Source organism: Homo sapiens, chromosome 2, assembly GCF_000001405.40.
Source record: "Homo sapiens chromosome 2, GRCh38.p14 Primary Assembly".
In the NCBI taxonomy this organism is placed as follows: domain Eukaryota; kingdom Metazoa; phylum Chordata; class Mammalia; order Primates; family Hominidae; genus Homo; species Homo sapiens.
Window position 1 is genome coordinate 238,767,761 of NC_000002.12, and position 21,772 is coordinate 238,789,532.

General features: G+C 46.8%; 4 annotated features.

Moving 5' to 3' along the window:
* Positions 4,094-4,594: an enhancer, noted in NCBI's record as "H3K4me1 hESC enhancer chr2:239680495-239680995 (GRCh37/hg19 assembly coordinates)". NCBI's record gives its function as "activates a minimal SCP1, AML or CMV promoter by ChIP-STARR-seq in primed H9 embryonic stem cells {active_cell/tissue: H9 hESC(primed)}" and the evidence as "EXISTENCE:reporter gene assay evidence [ECO:0000049][PMID:30033119]".
* Positions 7,839-8,339: an enhancer, noted in NCBI's record as "H3K4me1 hESC enhancer chr2:239684240-239684740 (GRCh37/hg19 assembly coordinates)". NCBI's record gives its function as "activates a minimal SCP1, AML or CMV promoter by ChIP-STARR-seq in primed H9 embryonic stem cells {active_cell/tissue: H9 hESC(primed)}" and the evidence as "EXISTENCE:reporter gene assay evidence [ECO:0000049][PMID:30033119]".
* Positions 8,340-8,840: an enhancer, noted in NCBI's record as "H3K4me1 hESC enhancer chr2:239684741-239685241 (GRCh37/hg19 assembly coordinates)". NCBI's record gives its function as "activates a minimal SCP1, AML or CMV promoter by ChIP-STARR-seq in primed H9 embryonic stem cells {active_cell/tissue: H9 hESC(primed)}" and the evidence as "EXISTENCE:reporter gene assay evidence [ECO:0000049][PMID:30033119]".
* Positions 15,728-16,231: an enhancer, noted in NCBI's record as "H3K27ac-H3K4me1 hESC enhancer chr2:239692129-239692632 (GRCh37/hg19 assembly coordinates)". NCBI's record gives its function as "activates a minimal SCP1, AML or CMV promoter by ChIP-STARR-seq in naive H9 embryonic stem cells {active_cell/tissue: H9 hESC(naive)}" and the evidence as "EXISTENCE:reporter gene assay evidence [ECO:0000049][PMID:30033119]".

Here is a 21,772-nt window from a genome sequence, read left to right on the forward strand (position 1 = left end):
TTACACAGGTGCACATTGATTACTCCTCTGTTTCAGTGAGTTCTTGTCTGTTACACAGGTACACATTGATTGCGCCTCTGTTTCAGTGAGTTCTTGTCTATTACACAGGTACACATTGATTACTCGTCTGTTACAGTGAGTTCTCGTCTATTACACAGGTACACAGTGATTGCGCCTCTGTTTCAGTGAGTTCTTGTCTATTACACAGGTACACAGTGATTACTCCTCTGTTTCAGTGAGTTCTTGTCTATTACACAGGTACACAGTGATTGCTCCTCTGTTTCAGTGAGTTCTTGTCTGTTACACAGGTACACATTGATTGCTCCTCTGTTTCAGTGAGTTCTTGTCTATTACGTAGGTACACATTGATTGCGCCTCTGTTTCAGTGAGTTCTTGTCTATTACACAGGTACACAGTGATTACTCCTCTGTTTCAGTGAGTTCTTGTCTATTACACAGGTACACAGTGATTACTCCTCTGTTTCAGTGAGTTCTTGTCTATTACACAGGTACACAGTGATTACTCCTCTGTTTCAGTGAGTTCTTGTCTATTAGACAGGTACACATTGATTACTCCTCTGTTTCAGTGAGTTCTTGTGTGTTACACAGGTGCACATTGATTACTCCCGTATTTTAGTGAGTTCTTGTGTATTACATAAGTGTGTGTTGATTGCTCCTCTGTGTCAGTGAGTTCTTGTCTATTTCATAGGTGCACATTGATCACTCCTCTTGTCTATTACACAGTTGCATATTGATCACTCCTGTTGTCTATTACATAAGTGCACATTGATTACTCCCCTGTTTCAGTGAGTTCTTGTCTATTACTTAGGTGCTCATTGATTGCTCCTCTCTATGAGTGTTTCTGGCTTGCATTTTTCCTGATGAGAAGCATACTGGCATTCTTTTGTTTCCCCCTCTGCATCTCCTGTGTCTTCTCTCTGGCTGAGTTGAAGATTTCCTCTTTTCTCTAGTTTTAAGCAATTTTTAGTTTTCTTCATGTTCCTTATGCTTGCAACCCACGGAATTTCTTACATCTATGGGTTTGGAGTTTTCATCGAATTTGGAAAAAGTTTGGCCACGATTTCTTCTCACCTTTTTTCTATCTGCCTTTCTGAGTCCTCTTTCTGAGGGTCTCTAGTTACATGTTTATTAGGCTCCATGAGGGTTCCCCACAGCCCAGTGATGCCCTGTGTCTATTTTGAATCCTTTGTCTTTCTGTGTCTCATGCTGTATCTTCAGGTTTCCCAAATCTTCCTTTCCACAATGGCTAATCTGCTCTTCGTCCCATCCAGTGCAATCTTCATCTCAGACATTGTGGTTTTTACATCTAGAAGTTCAATTTTTATCCCTTCTATGTCCTCCATGTCTCTGCTTAGCATATTCAATCTTTCCTTTAGCTTCTTGAATATATGGAACACAGTTCTCATAGCCTCTCATGTCCTTGTCTAGTCATTACATAATTTTTCTTTCTTTCTTCGTTCTTTCTTTCTTTCTTTGCTTTCTTTCTCTTTCTTTCTCTCTTTCTTTCTTCTTTCTCTTTCCCTCCCTCCCTCTCTTTCTTTCTTTCTTCTTTCTTTCTCTCTCTCTTCCCTTCTCTTCCCTTTTCTTTCTTTCTTTCTCTCTCTCTCTCTCTTTCTTTCTTTCTTTCTTTCTCTTTCTTTCTTCCTTTCTTCTTTCTTTCTTTTTTTCTTTGAGACAGAGTCTCACTCCGTTGCCCAGGCTGGAGTGCAGTGGTGCAATCTCACTCACTGCAACTTCCACCTCCCAGGTTCAAGCGTTTCTCCTGACTCAGCCTCCCAAGTAGCTGGGATTGTAGGCACGCACCACCACACCGGCTAATTTTTGTATTTTAGTAGAGACAGGGTTTCACCATTTGGCCAGGCTGGTCTTGAACTCCTGACCTCAAGTGATCCACCTGCCTCGGCATCCCAAAGTGCTGGGATTACAGGCATGAGCCACCATGCCTGGCAGCCTGTGTTATTTCTAATCTGGTTTTGATTGGTTGATTTTTCTCCTTATTATGGGTCATGTTTTCCTGCTTCTTTACCTGCTTGGTCATTTTTGATTGGATGCCACCCATTGTACATTTCACCTTGTGTGTTTCTGTAAATGTTATTTTTTTATGACACATAGGTAAGTTATTTGGAAGCAGATTGCTCCATTTGGGTCTGATGTTTGAGCTTTGTGAGACGGGACCAGATCAATGTTTAGTTGGAGGCTAATTTTATCCCACTTTGGAGACATACCCCTTCTGAGGACTCCCTCTGATTCCCTGTGAACTTTGATTTTTCTTTTTCCCACTTTGGCTGCTGGTAATAGAAACTGTTTCCGGCTCTGTAGGAGCACCACATACTTTTGTTGTTGTTGTTGTTCTCCAAACTTTTCAGATCATAGTTTCTCTAAACCTGCCTTCTCATGCATATGCTGATTAGTGAAAGACTTAACCCATCTATGCCTGAGGTTGCAATGCTTTGAATTTTTGCAATCAGACCTTGGCGATGACCTTGAGGAGTAGGATATAAATAAGTCCCACATGTTTAGCATTCCAATAATGGAACACTAGGCATAAATGGGTTTTAAGGGGGACCCACTGTGGATCTCCAGGGCATGTGAGCTCTCTCTCTTCCAAAGCTCTCTCCTCCACAGAACCTGCCCCACACAGGTTAGCACCTTGGGCTTCTCAGGCTCTCAGCCCCATCTCCTCAATTCAGAGAGACCACTGGGCTCCTCCTGGAGCACGGCTTGTAAATTCTCTCCAGGCCATAACCTAAGACAATTATGTGGCTTGATTCATTGATTTCCCATCTCTCAGGTGTCCCTATCCTTTGTTGCCTGATGTTAAATGTTTTGAAAGTCATTTTTTTCACATATTTTGTCTGATATTTTATTTCATGCAAGAGAATAAATAAAGTCCCTCTTACTTCACCTTGGCTAGAAGCAGAAATCTGTCCTACTGTTTTAATTTCTATGGATTTGACCTTAGAACCCTTGGGATTACAGATAACAACTTGAAGGAAGTCCTGAGAAGCAAGCATCTCAAAATTATACACGGAATCAAGTTTAGAAAGTAATAACAGCACAGTGATTATGATATGTTTATTGTGATCAAGATAAATCACATTTTATAGTAAATAAACCTTAACATATAAAAACGGGCTATAAAATTAGTTTGGGGGTAAAGAAAATTGGAAACATGTCTTACTAAAATATTAGAATTAGAACTGGTTAGGAAGAATAATGTATAAATCAACATGCACTCCAGGTTTATAAATAATTACTTTTGGCTGGGCTATTAATATTTATAAAAATTAATTTGTTAGCAATTAAATCAAAATGGGTGACATAAAGACCTCACATCTTAAAAATGTTTGCATGAATTGCTTAATTATAATATTCCAGCAGAATGATGGTGTGATCGAGGTATAAATGAAGAATTAAGATGATGATGAAATGGGGCAGCTGCTATGGAAAACACCAGTGGCTCTTCAAAAAATTAAGCACACAATTACCAGATGGTCCAGCAACCCCACTTCTTGATTTATACCCAAAGGAACAAAAAGCAGGGACTCAAAGGGGTATTTGTACATCCTTGTTGGCAGCAGCATTCTTCATAATCGCCAAAAGGGGGAGGCAGCCCGAGAGTTCCCTGACAGATGACTGGATAAGCAACACGTGGTTCGTCCGCACTCTGGAATAGCATCAGCCTTAAGGGAAGGATTCCCTTTAATTCAGGACAGTTCTGCTCTGCAATAACCATTGGACTGTTTTGTTACGCTAAGTTTTTTTGTCATTGTAAAGCTGAAGCCCTACAAGTTTTCTCTATGAAATACTCTACTTTGTGCTTAAAAGAAAAAAGCAACAGCTGCCCAGGCTTATGTGTGCTCACGGCTCAGGAGCAACACCCATCTCTGGAAGAGAATGCTCAGGGGTTGCAGCTGATTCAGGCTTCATCTGAATCCGTAATGAGAAGGTGCTGCCAAGAAAAAGCTCACGGCACCAGCAGAAGTGTGAGGTCCGGAAGGGAAGGAGAGCGACAGCTCAGCGCGCTTCGTGTCCCTTCCTCTGGCCTCACACAGAGCCTGCGCTGAGTTCCAGGTCCTCACTGTGAAAAAGAAGCTGCCTGCAGGTGTGTCGGAGGGGAGTGAGTGCGAAAGCCTCGCTGGGCGGGGGAGGTTGCAACCGTGTGGAATGTTCTGCCTGGAAAACTGAGGGTGTTGGGGGATGAGGCAGGGGCTCTGTTTAAATAGCAGAAGGGTCACAGCAACAAACGGGCTCTCAACAGACAAACTATTTTTAAATCACAAAATAAACAGAGCGAGAGGGAGGAGATCTTCTCAGAGTAAAAATCCCTTCCACTCTCCCCCTCGGCATAGCTCCCAGGGGACTGGAGGAGCAGGTACTGGGGACAATAGTGGGTCCTGTCTCGGGATTAATTCCAAATCCAGAAATGCCCCTCTCCTGTGAAGCGTTCAGTGGGCAGAAAGCTGGGGTTGACACAAAGACAGCTGGGCACTGTTGCTGCCCTAAAGGTGCTCCTGTTCAGCGGAAGAACTCAGACATCTTTAGGCAGAGTCAGCAACATGTGAGAAGGGCTCAAGGAGGGAAGGACAGGGCGCTGTGATGCTCTGAGGAGGATGAGCCTCTGGTTGGGGTGTGTCGTGGGCTGGGGTGAAAGATGGATTTGTGGGTGCAGGCAAAGACCTGGCTGGAAGGACAGGAGTTGGGCGCTTGATGGGAAGGTGGAGATGGGAGGAGAATCGTGGGGGCAGGAAAGATAGGCTAGGACCCCCATTAGACCACAGAGGGCTTAAGGGATGAGATGCGCGCCCTGTGGGAATTTGGGTGGCCTGGCCCCAGCCTCAGACTCAATGAGAAAGCCGATGTGGGAGCCACACACCTCCCCTGAAAGAGGCGCCTCTCACAGGGTCCCCACAGGCACGGAGGCCCAAGACCTGTCCGTCAAGGGGACAGCCCCACCACCTGCACACCAGGCAGATCCGTAGGGTGGGAGTGTGTGTCATGGCGGCTCCGTCTCCGGCTGGCTCATGGGCACTGTTGGCTTGTGCAGGACCCTCGGGGCACATGCAATGGCCAGGGAGGACTAGCGGGTCTGGAAAGGAGGGGCAGCAGGTGACATCACTGACCCCGTCAGCTCAGGGGATGAAACTTCCCTCCAGGGAGCTCGCCCCTCCGGGACCACACTGTTCCTCCTGTCTCCTGGGGATGGGAGGGACCCCAGCCAGAAGGGTCAGCCACTTCTGCCACTTCTCCTGGCCCTTCTCGCACCCTGGGCAGCCCATGCTTGGCCCCAACCTCCCAGCCAGTGCAGGAGACCCGGGAGAGCAGCTCTGTCTTGGACACAGAGACCACTCTCTGCGGGCGGTGGGTCAGTCCTGTGGCCACTCTAAGAAAATGGCCGCGGCCTGGGTGGCCGACACAGAAACACATTGCCCTGCAGTTCTGGAGGCTGCAAGTCCAAGATCAAGCTATCTGCAGGGCGAGTCCTTCTAAGGCCATGAGGGAGAATCTGTTCAGGCCTCCCGAGCATCTGGGGCTCGCTGAGGCCTTTGGCTCCTTCATTGTCCTGTGGTTCCCACCTGCATGTCTCTCCATGGGGCCATCTTCTCACACAGACACCAGGCACAGGGGGCCAGGGCCCACCATCCTCCAGTGTGACCTCATCTCAACCAATGACATCTGCAAACCTCATTTCCAAATAAGGCCACATCCTGAGATACTGGGGTTAGGACTTCGACATACGAACTTGGCAGGGGACACAATTCAACACATGACAGGTGGCGTTTCCGGCCTGGGAACAAGTTGCTGAAGCTTTTTCATCTTTCCTGTCCTCCTGCCACAGAAACCTGTATCCATACCCTTCCTCCACCCTCGCTGCCCGGTCCACTGCCGCCATCCCGAGGGAGCCACCTGGCTCTCCCTGCAGAGCGGGTGGGGACACGGGCTGCAGGTAGCAGGCCAGGGTGGCCGTGAGGGGCATTCAGGTGTTCCTATCCTTCCCCCTCTGCCATCGACGCTGCATCAGCACCACTTTCCCTCTGTGGAAACCAGGCTGTTTTGTGATGTTTTTGCCTAAAGTTATCCTCCTGGCACGTAATCTCTTTATAGAAAGGCCAGCAAGCAGGAGATTTTCACATGCTTTTTAAAATAGACTTATTTGCTTCATGATTTCCACAAGCTGCCTATTAGCTCCTGAGAAAGTGAATATGACAAATGACCTCGCACCTCGTTCCAGGGAGGAGACTCATGCTCCTATCACCTGCTTGCACACAGTACCTGTCACTCAACCTCTGCTGGCCGAGGCCCTGCCTCCAAGCCTGCTATTTCCTCCAGTAATGCAGGCCCCATCACTTCATTAATGCTCATTACAGAATAAGAGGAATTTCACCTCTGACCTTCAGCTCCACCCACCATGGCTATCTTGCCAAATTCTAACTTCAGTCACAGAAACAGCTAACCACCGCCAAAGGGGAGTTCCCGCCCCAGACCCCTTTACACTTATGAATACTTCAAAAGATCATAAATGTTTTCAGAAGAAATCACAGCCAATCAAGAAGCCATTTGCAGAGCCCTTGGGTTAAAAGCTTCACACGCGAATGCCTAGAACAGCCATCCGCCCTCCAAACTCTGTCCCGGATGTGGTGGCCTGGCCAGATGCTGCAGGGGTTCCCTGCTGTATTAGTCCATTTTCATGCTGCTGATAAAGACATATCCAAGACTGGAAAGAAAAAGAGGTTTAATTGGACTTAGAGTTCCACATGGCTGGGGAGGCCTCAGAATCATGGTGGGAGGTGAAAGGCACTTCTTACATGGCAGTAGCAAGAGAAAATGAGGAAGAGGCAAAAGTGGAAACCCCAATAAACCCATCAGATCTTGTGAGACTTACTCACTATCACGAGAATTGCACAGGAAAGACCAGCCCTCATGATTCAATTACCTCCCCCTGGGTCCCTCCCACAACTCATGGGAATTCTGGGAGATACAATTTAAGTTGAGGTTTAATGGGGACACAGCCAAACCATATCACCTGCCTTCCTGAGGCCCTGACTCTGTGTCATGGATCTTTCATGCCTGGGCCCCTTGGAGTGTGTTTCCACAAGGTGTGGACTGCACACACTCCATTGGCTCTCAAGAAAGCTAGTGTTGCCCTGTTTCCTCAAGACAATTTGACCACTCAACAACCAAATCGGCCACAGCCCACCAAAGGCCCACAGGGACCTCTGCCATGGTCCCCTCTGGCCACCAGGGTCTGAGAAGCAGACATTGGATTCCCCATCTCAAGGTGCTGCATCTCCAGTAGGAGCTGGAAAGCCATGAGTTCCTGTTCCAGGGCTCAACAGAAGAGCAGGGAAAGTGACTGAGAGAGCAAAAGAGGACCAGGGCACGTCCTGGAAGACTTCCTGGAGGAGGCAATCCATGAGAAGGATTCCAATGGGCAGAAAAATATGGGAAGAGATTTGAACAAACATGAGCCAAATAGCAGGGTACCGGACATCTCCAGGCTGTTTCAAGAATTCATTCCTTTTGATCAGTAAGTCTTTGTTAGTGCTGAGGGCAGGCAGGGCACGATGTCAGTGCTGGGACAGAGGAAACAGAACAGCCCTAGCCTTGTGGAGTCCATGCCTTGTGAAAAGAGACTGTAGGCAGGTTAATAAGTAACCAGTCGGAATAAGTTGTGAGGCACCGAGGCCTTGGGACCTGGAACACTGGGGTGGGAGATCTTCCTGAGACAGGTGGTTGTGGGGCGGCGTCTGCAGGGTAACTCACAGCAGAGACCCCCAGGGTGGGAGGTGGCAGCGTGGCCCAGGGAGAGCCAGGCCCTGAGTCAGGGCTGGAGTCCAGAGAGAGGGGATGGAGTGAGCGGGAGCTGGGTTTTACGAACTCCCGTTGGAGGAAAAGAATGCGGCTATACTCACAGTGTGGTGGGACACCGGTGGAGGGTCTTGAACACAGGAGTGGTGCAATCCTGGTTGAGTTTTGGGGGTCACCCCCGTTGCAATGGGTGTGGAGCAAGCTCTGTAGCAGGACGATCAGCAGCAGTTTAGTTGCCCCCCAGAGGCCGGATTGGACAGGCTGGATGGGAGCAAGTGTGCTTGGTGTGGAGAGAAGCAGTGGGACTCGAGATATCTGGAGGGGAAATGGGCAGGACTGGGCACCGGCTGGAGGTAGGCATGAGAAAGAAGGATAACTCGGCTGCCTTCCCAGTTCCTGTTCTGAGCAGCTGGATGGCGTGTGGACCTGGAGTGGTGCAGTCACAGGCACATCGAGAGCGAGAGGCAATGCAAGTGGAAATGCCAAAGCAACAGAGGGATGCAGCAGGTGACAAGCTGGGCAACCCGGAGTTACCTGGGGCCTGTCGAGTAAGCCCTGAGGAAGGCGGCTGCTCATGAGAAGGGGAGTGGCCAGAGAGCAGGGCGGGGAGCCTGGGTGCGGTGGGGACAGACAGCGGGTAGGGGGGCCCGGATGCAGTGGGGAAGGGGAGATGTCGGCTGACTCAAGTCACTGTTAAAAGTCATGGAACACCTCTCAATACAAACGAGCCTTTCTCCAGGGTGCACACCTCTCTGCAGCCGCCCAGAGAGCCACACTGCAGCCTGCTTCTCCTCACCTGGAGGCTGGAGTCCGTTCCCAAATTTGCTCCCAATTCCTGTAAACCTGGGTAGGTTCAGGTGCTAAGAGGAAAAATCCCAGCATAGAAAGAGGAAGGACGTTTGTCAGAGAAGTCACTGAGCATGGAAAGAGGAAGGACGTTTGTCAGAGAAGTCACTGAGCATGGAAAGAGGAAGGACGTTTGTCAGAGAAGTCACTGAGCATGGAAAGAGGAAGGACGTTTGTCAGAGAAGTCACTCAGCATGGAAAGAGGAAGGATGTTTGTCAGACAAGTCACTCAGCATGGAAAGAGGAAGGACGTTTGTCAGAGAAGTCACTCAGCATGGAAAGGGGACGGATGTTTGTCAGAGAAGTCACTCAGCATGGAAAGGGGAAGGACGTTTGTCAGAGAAGTCACTCAGCATGGAAAGGGGAAGGACGTTTGTCAGAGAAGTCACTCAGCATGGAAAGAGGACGGACGTTTGTCAGAGAAGTCACTCAGCATGGAAAGAGGAAGGACGTTTGTCAGAGAAGTCACTCAGCATGGAAAGAGGAAGGACGTTTGTCAGAGAAGTCACTCAGCATGGAAAGAAGAAGGACGTTTGTCAGAGAAGTCACTGAGCATGGAAAGAGGAAGGACGTTTGTCAGAGAAGTCACTCAGCATGGAAAGAGGAAGGACGTTTGTCAGAGAAGTCACTCAGCATGGAAAGAGGAAGGACGTTTGTCAGAGAAGTCACTCAGCATGGAAAGGGGAAGGACGTTTGTCAGAGAAGTCACTCAGCATGGAAAGGGGAAGGACGTTTGTCAGAGAAGTCACTGAGCATGGAAAGAGGAAGGACGTTTGTCAGAGAAGTCACTCAGCATGGAAAGGGGAAGGACGTTTGTCAGAGAAGTCACTCAGCATGGAAAGAGGAAGGACGTTTGTCAGAGAAGTCACTGAGCATGGAAAGAGGAAGGACGTTTGTCAGAGAAGTCACTCAGCATGGAAAGAGGAAGGACGTTTGTCAGAGAAGTCACTCAGCATGGAAAGGGGAAGGACGTTTGTCAGAGAAGTCACTCAGCATGGAAAGGGGAAGGACGTTTGTCAGAGAAGTCACTCAGCATGGAAAGAGGAAGGACGTTTGTCAGAGAAGTCACTCAGCATGGAAAGAGGATGGACGTTTGTCAGAGAAGTCACTGAGCATGGAAAGGGGAAGGACGTTTGTCAGAGAAGTCACTGAGCATGGAAAGAGGAAGGACGTTGGTCAGAGAAGTCACTCAGCATGGAAGTGCCTTGAAGCTCCCCGAAGGCTGTGGAAAGCTCCTCCACGTCTTTGTTCTCCCATGAGGCTCATGGTCCCAGAGCGTGGTCTAATTCCTGAGGCCAGCAGGCCTGGGTTCTGTGCCTGTGTCTCTGGACTTCCAGCACTAAGTCGCGGGCAGGCTTGTGCGGGAACCCCTGAATATCCGGAGGCCCAGAGACCCAGAGGCCCAGAGACCCAGAAGCCCTGGACGTGAGGCCTGACTTCCTGCTTACCAGCTCCGAGGTGGTCTTGGGGTGTGGTCACCCCACAGTCTCTGAGGCAGACCCCCACTGTCCCTCTGAGGACAGGTCTCCAGGGCCCAGTTTCCCTTTGCCAGGCAAATGGGGCTGCCCAGCTCCAGAGCCTAGTCTGCCACTCCTGGCTGAAGGGTGGCCAGGGCCAGTTGAAGCCTGAACCCTCCTTTAGGTAGCATGGAACATTCCAGAGACATAATCTGTCTGCCCTTTTCTCTCTCAGACAGTGGGAGTGTTTCCTCTTTTTGCAGTTACGTGTCAGCAGATTGCTTTCTTTTAGGAAAGGGTTCATCTCACCGGTGACTTTGTGCAGAAGAGAGCAGGCGGGAACGGGAAAAGCGCACGTAAGATCCCGCCAGGCCCTCGAGGCCCCGCATGGCTGATGAAGAACATGCCTGTGTTTCCGGCCAAGGTGGTTTCCTGCCAGGACAAATGAGCCCGAGTCGCTCCACTTTCCCTGGGCCCACATAGCCGGCCCTTGGGGGACATTGAAGCAGTAGCCCCAGCCTCACCACGAGGCTGCCCAGGGAGGAAGACTGAGTCCTCCACTGTGCAGGGACCACATGGGGCAGCTCTGTTTGAGAACTGATGGGTGGTTTTGCTAAATGGAGCAGAGCGAGGAGCTCCGGAAGCTTCCATGTCAGGGGAGGGAGCTGCAGATTGGCACAAACCCATGGGAGAGGGCTCCTCAGAAGACAGAGCATGGCTGAGCTGGCAATTCTCCACCCTCATGGCTGTGCCTGGGACCCTCTATGCTTTCTGCACTCTGAGGAAACCTTCACATGCCTCAGATGGGTCCAGAGATATGCACCCACCACCCTGGCCCCATGCGCTGTTGCGTCTCACAGCAGAGAGCAGAGGAAGCACCTGTTCGGTCCAGGGGCCCCACATCTCCAGTTGGGAAGCTGGGGCAGGCTTTTCAGGGTACCCCACTGGGCCACCCAGGGGTCCAGGCTCAGCATAGTCATGGTTCTGGCATAGGACCCTGAAAAGAACTGAATTCTAGTTTTACATTGAGCCCAAGACCAGCTCAGGCCAAAGCCTCACTCATTTGCAAACACTGATGTGGCACCTGCCATGGTGCCATGAAGGGCCAGAGGTCAGGCAGGTGGGGAGATAATGCCCTTCCCCAAGAGGTATAATGCCCTTCCCAAAGGGGTATAAGTCCCACGGTTGTGGGGCCTGAATATCGGTCCTACCCTTTCCCAAGGAACTCAACAGCTGCACCCAGGGACAGCAGGGACACCAGGACTTAGGGTACAAGACACAGGCAGAGGCCCCTGAGCTTGGACGCTGGCCCCAGCTATGCAGCTGTGTGGCTCGAGTCAGCTCCCAAACCTCAGTCGCACATCTGAAAATGAAGACTAATTGCCCACTAAGGGTTGGGAGGACAAACTGGGTCTTTGAATTCCTGGAAATCTGGAGACTAGTCAGGAGGCCGCTGCAGGCAGAAATGTCCTATACAAGAAGAAAGAAGTGGAAATACACCTCATGTGCTGGAGGATGATGGAAACCGGTTGCAGGTGGTCCCGGCGACAGGTCTTTTGTGGCTGTGCGCCAAGCCAGGAGGAGCTGGTTCCATGATCTGGGTGGACAGACCTGGCAGCAGGTGCTGTTCAACTCTTCTATATCATTATTGATTTTCTGTCCATATGTTCTATCAATTATTGACGATATTGGAATCTCTGTTGACAATTATGGATTTGTCTAGTTCTTGTTGTGGTTCTGTCAGATTTCGCTTCGTGTATTTTGAAGCTCTATAATAAGATAAATGAACAGTTAGGATTGTTATGTCCTTTTGATGAATTGATCCCTTTATCATTATGAAATGATCATTCATTTCTTTATCCCTGGTGATATTCTTTGCTTTGAAGTCCACTTTGATGAGTAAACGCTCCAGATTTATGGTTGATTAGTCTTAGCATGGTGTATCTTTTTCCATCCTTTTACATTTAATATTTTTTTGTCTTTCTATATAAAGTGGGTTTCTTGTAAGCATCATAGACTTGCTTTTCATCAAAGCTGACATCTGCCTTTTAATTGAGGCATTTAGACAGTGTAGATTTCATATGATGATTGATATGGTTCAGCTTAAGCTTATCATCTATTTGTCTCATCTGTTTTTTGTTCCCCTTTTAGCCCTCTTTTAGATTAATTGAATAGTTTCTATGATTCCATTTTATCCACTCATATAGCTTATTAGCTATAATTCTTTCTTTTTTTTTTTTGAGACAGTCTCGCTCTGTCACCCAGGCTGGAGTCCAGTGGCGCAATCTCAGCTCACTGCAAGCTCCGCCTCCTGGGTTCACGCCATTCTCCTGCCTCAGCCTCCAGAGTAGCTGGGACTACAGGCACCCGCCACCACGCCCGGCTAATTTTTTGTATTTTTAGTAGAGACGGGGTTTCACCGTGTTAGCCAGGATGGTCTCAATCTCTTGACCTCATGATCCACCCACCTCGGCCTCCCAAAGTACTGTGATTACAGGTGTGAGCCACCACGCCCAGCCCTATAATTCTTTCTTTTGTTATTTCAGTGATCGCCTTAGGGTCTATATGCACCTCTAAGTTATGACGGTCTGTCTTGAAGTAATACACGACTTTAGGTATAGTATAAAAACCTTACAATAGTATACTTTCACATCTTCACTCCCAGCCTTGATGCTAAGGTTGCCATTCATTTTACTTATACATATGTTAGGAACCTCATGCTCTGTTATTATTTTTGTTAAATGGTCAATTTTATTTTAAAGAGATTCTGTATAATAAGAAAACTATCAATATATTTACTCACATAGTTACTGTTTCCGGTACTCTTCATTCCTCTGTGTAGATCCGAATTTCCGTTTGGTGTCATTTTTCTTCTGATGGGACTTTCTTGAACATTTCTTGTAGTGTGTCTGCTGGTGAAAAATGCTTTCAGCTTGAGTTCCTCTGAAAAAAGACTCTGTTTGACCTTTAGTTTCGGAAGGTAATGGAGACAGGCGTAGAGTTTTAGGCTCATGGCATTTTCGTTTTTGTAATTTAAATGTGTTACTCCACCATCTTCTTGCCCGTATTGTTTCTGATGAGAAATCTGCTCTCATCTTATCATCCGTCCCCTGCATGCAAAATGCCACTTTTCTCTGGTCACTTTTAAGATTGTCCTGTCCATCACTGGCTTTGAGCCGTTTGATTATGACCTGCCTTTGGTGTGGTTTTCTTCACGTAGTTTCCTCAAGATTAAGGCTCATTGAGCTTATTGGGTCTATCAGTTTATAGTTTTCATCAAATTTGGAAAATTTTTTGACCATTACTGCTTCAAATATATTTTCTATCCCACTTTCTCTCCTCTCCTTCAGGGACTTCAATTACACATATATTAGGCCACTTGAAGTTGTACCATATCTCACTGATACAATTTTCACTTAAAAAAACACCATAAAGGCACATGCATGCGTATGTTTGTTGCAGCACTATTCACAATAGCAAAGAGGTGGATCAACCTAAATACCCCACAATGGTAGACTGGATAAAGAAAACATACACCATAGAATACTATGCAGCCATAAAAAAGCATGAAATCATGTCCTTTGCAGCAACATTGATGGAGCTGGAGGCCATGATCCTAAGCAAATTCACGCAGGAACAGAAAACCAAATACCATGCTCTCACTTATAAGTGGCAGTGAAACAACGAGGACACATGAACACAAAGAGGAGAACAAGAGACAACAGGGCCTGCTTGAGGGTGGAGGGTGAGAGGAGAGAGAGGATCATGAAATTACCTATTGGGTACTATGCTCATTACCTGGGTGATGAAATAATCTGTACACCAAACCCCTGTGACACACAGTTTACCTACGTAACAAACTGCACACGCACCTTGAACCGAAAATAAAAGTTAAAAAGGGCCGGGTGCGGTGGCTCCCGCCTGTAATCCCAGCACTTTGGGAGGCCGAGGCGGGCGGATTGCGAGGTCAGGAGATCGAGACCATCCTGGCTAACACGGTGAAACCCCGTCTCTACTAAAAATACAAAAAAAAAAAAAAAATAGCTGGGAGTGGTGGCAGGTGCCTGTAGTCCCAGCTACTCGGGAGGCTGAGGCAGGAGAATGGCGTGAACCCAGGAGACAGAGTTTGCAGTAAGCGGAGGTCGCACCACTGCACTCCAGCCTGGGCTATAGTGAGACTCCGCCTCAAAAACAAAAACAAAAACAAAAAAAACAAAACTTAAAAAGAAGAAACTTGGCCCAACTTCTTCTCAAAAAGAAAAAATGACTTTTTTCCCCTCTATGTTTCATTTCGGAGAGCTTCTATTACCGTGTCTTCAAGTTCACTAATATTTTATTCTGTAACGTGTAACCTGCCATGAATCCATCCAGTGTGTTTTTCATTTCAGCCATTATAGTTTTCATCTTTAAAACTTTAATTTGTCCTTTTTATATCTTCCACATCTTTACTCCACTTTTAAAACATATGGAATACAGTTATGGTAACTTTTATTTCTTTGTCTGCTAATTCTAACATCTGCATCAGTTCTGGGTCTGTTTTGATTGATTTTTCTCCTTATTATAGGACATATTTTTCTGTTTCTTTATCTGCCTGGTAATCTTTGATTGGATGCCAGATATTGAGAATTTCATCTCGTTGGGTGCTGGGTGTTTTTGTATATCTGCACATATTCTTGAGGTTTGTTCTGGGATGCGACTGAGTTTCTTGATCCTCTTGGATCTTACTTTTGAAGTTTGTTAGGTGGAACCGGAACCTCGTTTACACTAAGGGTACTTATTCTCCAATACTCAGGCAAGTACTGATACGCCACCCGATGTCCTCTGAGATTTCCAGTTTGTCATGTGGGCACAGGTGCTATTTGCAGACCGATGTGAGTGCCAGGCATTATTTCCTTTCATCTTTAAGGTGATTCTTTGCTCGGTCTTGGGCAGTTTCCTCACACACACCCGCCAATCCTGAAGGTGAGCCTCTGCAGATCTCTGGATTCTCTCCTCTCTGGGACTCTGCCCTGCCAAGGGTAGTTGCACTGGTCTCCCCGAAATCTCTATCTTCCCAACTCAGAGAGTCTGCTGGGCTCTGCCTGAGTGGAGGAGATGCCTCCTTCTTGTTCTGTGGCCTGAAAACTCAAGGCAGTGCATTGGGCTACCATAGGGCTCAATGGTTTCCTTCCCATCCCACAGGGATCACTGTCCTTCACTGCCTCCTTCCAGTGTTCGGAAGACCGTTGTTTTTCATATTTGGTCTGCTTTTTGTGTGTTTTTGTTTCCTATGGAGGGTAAATTTGGTCTGTGACAAAGTCTTTGTGCTGTGGTTCTCTCCATCTGCGCTAGGTTGGCCTTCCTCATCTCAATGCCCCCATGCCTGACATGGCACCTGACATTCAGTCCATCTACACTAGGTCAGCCTTCCTTATCTCAACGCCTCCATGCCAGACATGGCACCTGACACTCAGTCCATCTGCACTAGGTCGGCCTTCCTCATCTCAACGCCCCCATGCCTGACATGGCACCTGACACTCAGTCCATCTGCACTAGGTCGGCCTTCCTCATCTCAACGCCCCCATGCCTGACATGGCACCTGACACTCAGTCCAACTGCACTAGGTCGGCCTTCCTCATCTCAACACCCCCATGCCTGACATGGCACCTTACACTCAGTCCATCTGCACTAGGTCAGCCTTCCTCATCTCAACACCCCCATGCCTGACATGGCACCTGACATTCAGTGGAAACTGCATGCGCGTAGATTACATGAACGGATGAGCAAATGAACTTAACTGGGAGTAACAAAGGGCGCTGAAGGCATTTGTCACCAGCTGAAGAAGTGTCACTGCTCTCTTCACACACATCTGTATATGTGTCTTGTTTCTCACGGTGATAGTTTTGAGGCCAAGGAACCTGTTGAATTAATTCATATCACATCCTTAAGGCTCAGTGACTTCGTTTTGCACAATGTAGGCTTTTAATAAATGTTTGCTTAATAAATAATTCATGGGTCGTTTAGACACGTGTCTGACAAACTTGGGTTGAAGTGTGAATGTAACAAATTTGTCTCTAATCCCAGCTGTGTGGAGTCTTTCTTCTCTGCTCTAGCACTGTGCTATCGACTACTGATAGCACCAGTCGGTAGCAGATCCCAGGACAAAATTATAGTTAAAAGATGCATGACCCATGGTGCCTTAACTTTCATATATGATGTCTTCATCTTTTCAAGGTGTTTAGATGACCATAGGAAGAAAAAGCGAGAGATAGAGGAAGTTAAAGAAGAAATGTTGGCTGCCATTGAAAACCAATCACAAATAAAGTTACAAAGTCAATTGGAAAGCAAGTGATTCTTCACAAATGCAAATCCTAGGACAGTGCCTGGCAGAGAGGAACTCCTCACTCCACCATTCTAATTCAATAATAGTCAGTTACTAAGGGCACAGCACTTTTAGGAGGAGCTCTCCCCTCTCCTACTTATGCAGAGGGGCCAAAGGATATATGACCAGGCTGTCAGCATGGGCTTCGAAGCGCTTGCATTGGGGATGCTAAAGGAAGCAGGTGCTGAGCATGAAGGAGATCAGAATCAATGAGTTACACAGGCGTGTATTCTCAACCAGAGGTGTGGCTGCACCATTAAGCCAGGGAAAGGTGGGCTGGGACACAGGACTCAAATAATCCCTCTGGCTGGACCAACGCAGAGGCCATGAAGACAGAGGAGTGGAATGTTGGGGAAAGGAGCTTTTCCATTTTTCTCTCCTTTCAGAGCCATTTTGCCTGTTTTCAAATCTAGTAACAGCATTGCTTCACCAGCGCAGTGTTGTAGATACAGCCTGTGGGTCACACCAGGATGCAATTACACTGCTGGCGGCACAGTGAGCCAAGAGGCTCTGGATGGAGCCTGGCCACCCAGCCTTCCCTCCTCAAAGTTTAGAAACTCGCCAACCCGACCCGCCTGCTGGAGGCATGGCTGCAAACCTGCAGGGTGCCACGTTTGATTTTTAAGCCTGGTGTGCTTCCTTGCCTAAATTACTTTGTGATGTATCATACTGAACCCTAAAATATTTTGTAGCCAGTTTTATTACGAAATGGATTCTATTTGGTGATTACAAAATATTCTGCTTTTAAGTAGTCTCAGTTCTTCAGCTGCTTCCACATGTGTGTTCAGCCTGTTGAAGAAGATGCGGGAGGCATTGAGCCTCCCAGAGAAAGACCCTGCAAGAGACTCCAGGGAAGAAAAACTCTCAAATTAAAGTTGTGAGCTCTGGCCCCCGCGTGCTGACAAAATCCATTGCATGCACCGCCCTCTTGTGGTCACGCAGCAGGTGACACACTTCAAAGGCAAGTTACACGGACTCTGCGCTTGGCCCCGGGGAACAGGTTCTCTGTTAGGAAAAGCGTTTCTGAACATTCCTTTATTCACATGTGCACGCACACAGCACTATAAGCAAGTGAGATCTGACATCAGGGCTATTCTCCCCTATCACAAGGAAATAACACAAATGTGGATTTTTTAAAAGCTCAGAACTGTGGGTGAAGATTCCAAAATCACAGGATGTCCAAACTGGAAAGGATCCTGACATGATCTTGATCAAATCCCCTCCATTTTTTTTTTTAAAGTGGTGGGGGGTTTGTGTGATCTTAGACAACTCACTGTATGTCCCAGAGACACATATTGACTTGCCTAAGATCACACAGCAAATCGCTGGTGTTGAGGTACAGGCCTCTGTCCCATGCCGGAAGTGGCTCTGGGACTCACCACTCCAGCTCTTCACTGGAGACGTCAGGAGACTGAGTCCAGCGAGGTCGAGAGGCCAGGGCCACGCAGGGAGCCCGAGAGCTGAGCTCTGGTGCTGGTCCCCTGGGCAGTGGGTCCCTTCTCCCATCTATGTCCTTCCCTGTTCTTGGGCAGGGACTGTCTCTTCCACCAGGACCTCTGTGCCCAGGACCGGACAAGAGGGGCTTGTGGCAAGTATGGACGGATGAAGGGGGCACCAACCAGGACTCAGGAAGAGCAGGGGCCAGAAGCAGGGCCTGGGCTAACTTATGGTTCAAATGGTAAATTTTATGTTATGTATATTTTACCACAGTGAAAAAGGAAACAGCAGTTTTAAACCCAAATTTAAAAAAAGGAAATAAAAAAAAAACTTAGGAACTTCTTTATGAGGCTACAGAGCAGCTACCACCAGCCCCATTTGACAAGAAAAATGCTATTCCCTTTTTTATTGTGGTGAAACATACATAACATAAAATTTGCCATTTTTATCATTTTAAGTGCACACTTCAGTGGCATTAAGCACATCTGCGCTGCTGTGCAACCGTCACCACTATTCAGCTCCAGAACTTTCCATCTTCCCAAATGAGACTCTGTCCCCCATGAAACACGAACTCCCTGTTTCCTCCCCCAGCCCTGGCACCCGCAATCCTACTTTCCGTCTCTATGATTTTGACCCCTTAGCTTCCTCATGTGAGTGGAATCGTGCAAGGTTCGTCTTTTTGTGGCTGGTTGTTTCACTCAGCAGAACATCCTTAGGTGCCGTCCATGTTCCCTTCCTTTCCAAGGCCGGGTGCTGTCCCACCCTACGGATAAATCACCTTTCGTTTCTCCATTCATTCATCAGTGGACACTGGGTTGCTTCCACAGTCCACGTGGTTTCACCGAAGCCTGGCAGTGGGAGCTGTCCCCTCTGGTGGACAGTGAACTCACTCTGGGGGAGGGGTCGAGTAACCATGGTCAGATGGCTCTTGCGGTGAGAGGTATGTGCCTGCTCTGAGCAAGGCACCCCGAAGGCTGAGGCCTCTCTGGAGGCTGGTAACTGTCACCCAGGCCACAGCATCTTGGGCAACCTGGATTCCTTCCTTTCCACCTGGGAAGCTTGGCTGACCTGGGGCCCAGCTCAGGCTGTAGCCAGGATCGGATGCTGTTTTAAATTTGGGATTGGATTCAGAAGGATCGGGAACCTGAAAGTCAACGTCCTTTCGGTTGATCTGAAAACACAAAACTCACTGGCTTTGCCAAAAAGGCAGTTCTCAAATTCGCAGCCAAAGAACGCATCGAACAGAAATAGCATTAGAGGGAGTGCGGGGATCCCTTCCATGTTACCGTGAAGTTCTCATACTGTTGAGCGAACGTGGGAGTCAGGGTGGAGAAAGCGTGGCCTGGCCGGCAGGGCACCGCACACTGTGCCGCTGTCTCCCCACTTCGTTTTCATTCTCTTTAAAAACCAAAACTGAAAAACCCTGCCCGTAACTACTTGCACTTATGTCCCAAACACCTCTGACTTCTCATCCGCATTCTCACTGAGGAACGTGATGCCAAGGAAGGGACTTTAAAAAATCTCTTAATTAATTATTGGTTATAATGAATGCCGAGGAGGGCACGTTTCCAAAACCCTCGTCTCCACGGTTTGCTTTCTGTTGTGTGTGCGTCCGTTGTAAACACAGCTTTCAGAATTTTCGCTGATGCTCAAGTGCTCTTTCCAGCAACAGCATTCATACACGCCAGGCCACTTCCCGCAAGTCATAATTACAACATAAAGCCAAATTAAATGTTCTAACGCTGTCGCTCCAACTCCTTCACATTTCCTTGCTCTTAGCAAACTTCCTTTTTTGAGTCCTGCAAAAGATTCGCTATTTTCCATTAAAGTAGACTCACTATTTCCTTCTAGAGTATTAAAAGTGCAAAGAGCCACAGGTAAAGCCTTCCTTTTCTCTGGTCTTACCGCATCCTTTGTCCAAACAAAGGCAGAAGTCCCCTGTCCCCCATGCAGTTGTATGTACGCAGAGAGCCCAGTCCCAGCTCCTAGGCGGTCAGACAGGCACCCCGAGTCACCACTGGCCTGCCAGCACCAGCAGCTCCAGGTCCCTGAAATCCAGCAGGCATAACCTAAGAGGTTACCTAGAGTTCAGTCAAGCTCCTCAAATAGCCACTAAGTGAAATGAGGAAAAGTTATGTAAAGTGAAGTAAAATCCTCAACAATGAAACACAAAGCTGTTATTCTCTTTTTATGAAACTCCAGTAAATTGTTTCAGAAAATGAAAGTGCCGGAAAAGAAATATTTCCATTGGGAACTAGAGATGCCCTGTGTTAAAATGGTCACACAGAAATCTGGACGACCAAGCTTTAAAGCTTTGGCTGTGTTTTAAGCTATAGCCTCGGTTCATTAGAATGGGATTTTTTTTTTTAACCAACAAACTTCTACTTTTTCTCTCTATGTGTTGTTCTGCTTAAGCCTCTGAAAACTAATTTATAAAATTGAAAATGTGTTCTTGTAGCAATTCCATACTTTCTAATAAACTTGATATAGACCCTTTTGTAGTTAATGGAATCCTTTTTTAAAATTATGTTTGAATTTTCATTTATTTGAGCTCTTAGAAAACTGTAGATTGCTAAATTGAAGTTTAAATGAATTTGTTCATTATAGCAGTTAAGAAGGCACCAAAGCCTCACCAGCAATTTCACAATTAATTAAAAATAAAAACTAATTTAAAATTATGCAGAAAAGGACACTACTTAAATCACACAGCTTTCTTTTTTTTGCTATAGCTGGGTGAGGTTTGAATATCCTAAACTCTTAAATGCAACTATTAAAATGATTAAACAGTGGGAGTAAAATATTGGCAAATGCAATATCAGCCTAGGTATAACTTCATTTTCATTATCTTGTGGTTTTTTTCTTTTAAAAATAATTTTAAATTAGTTTTTTTCCTTTTAAAAAGAAAAAACATCAAACCTGTGGCTTTATTGAAGGCTCTCTTTACACTTCATATTTTGGTGGAAATATTGCTAATTCCGAGTGTATCTTCTTGAAAAGCTTTCTGCAGAGGAAACGGGATGGTTCTAAATTCTGTCTTCTGATTTCTGACACAGCACGGTGAAATTTTTGATGAAACATCTATACCAGGCCTCCGGGCTTTCCTGAATTTGTCTAGATAAAGAAGAAGGACAAAAATCTTTTCCATCTGTAATTTTGTAAAGTTATAGAACATTTTTAAAACCTGCATTAAATTAGCAATGGAAAGAGTATTCTGTCTCCAAACATTTCTAGAATTGAGAATTTTTTTCTCTAATTCTAGTACATGCTTAACTTTACGCAACATTTTGCCCATATTTATGCATAGATATGCAAACACAATCATGGCAATGGAGAACACTTTTCTAAAAAGCATGGCCACAGTGCTACAATGAAGGTGCTTGGCCCATCAACTTGTTATATAATAAATACTTTTTAAAAAAAATCAGACTTAAAAATCCTAGTGGGCCTTGTGATAGAAAGTATATCATATAATTAGAAAACAAAATAACTGGAGTGGAAAGTTTCCTGAAACTAGCTTGATGCCGTATTCCACTTGACATTTACTGTTAAAGAAATTCAATGCACAAATTCAGCCACACCCAGACTCACCTTTGCATTTAAGTAGTCCAAGATGTTTGGAGGAGAACTGGTGTCCCAGTGTTCAGACATGGGTGAACCAGCTCTCCCTGCCCAGGCACACGAGCGTGATTCTATCCTGCAGTTTCCTGGATCTGTCATGTGGAAGCAGGCGACATCGTCTTTGATTTTATCATACGAGAGTGTTCCCACTGCATTTGTGCAGTGGCTACACCTGGCTGCTTCCACACCACACACTTCTGAAAACCCCACTGTGTTGTCTCTGT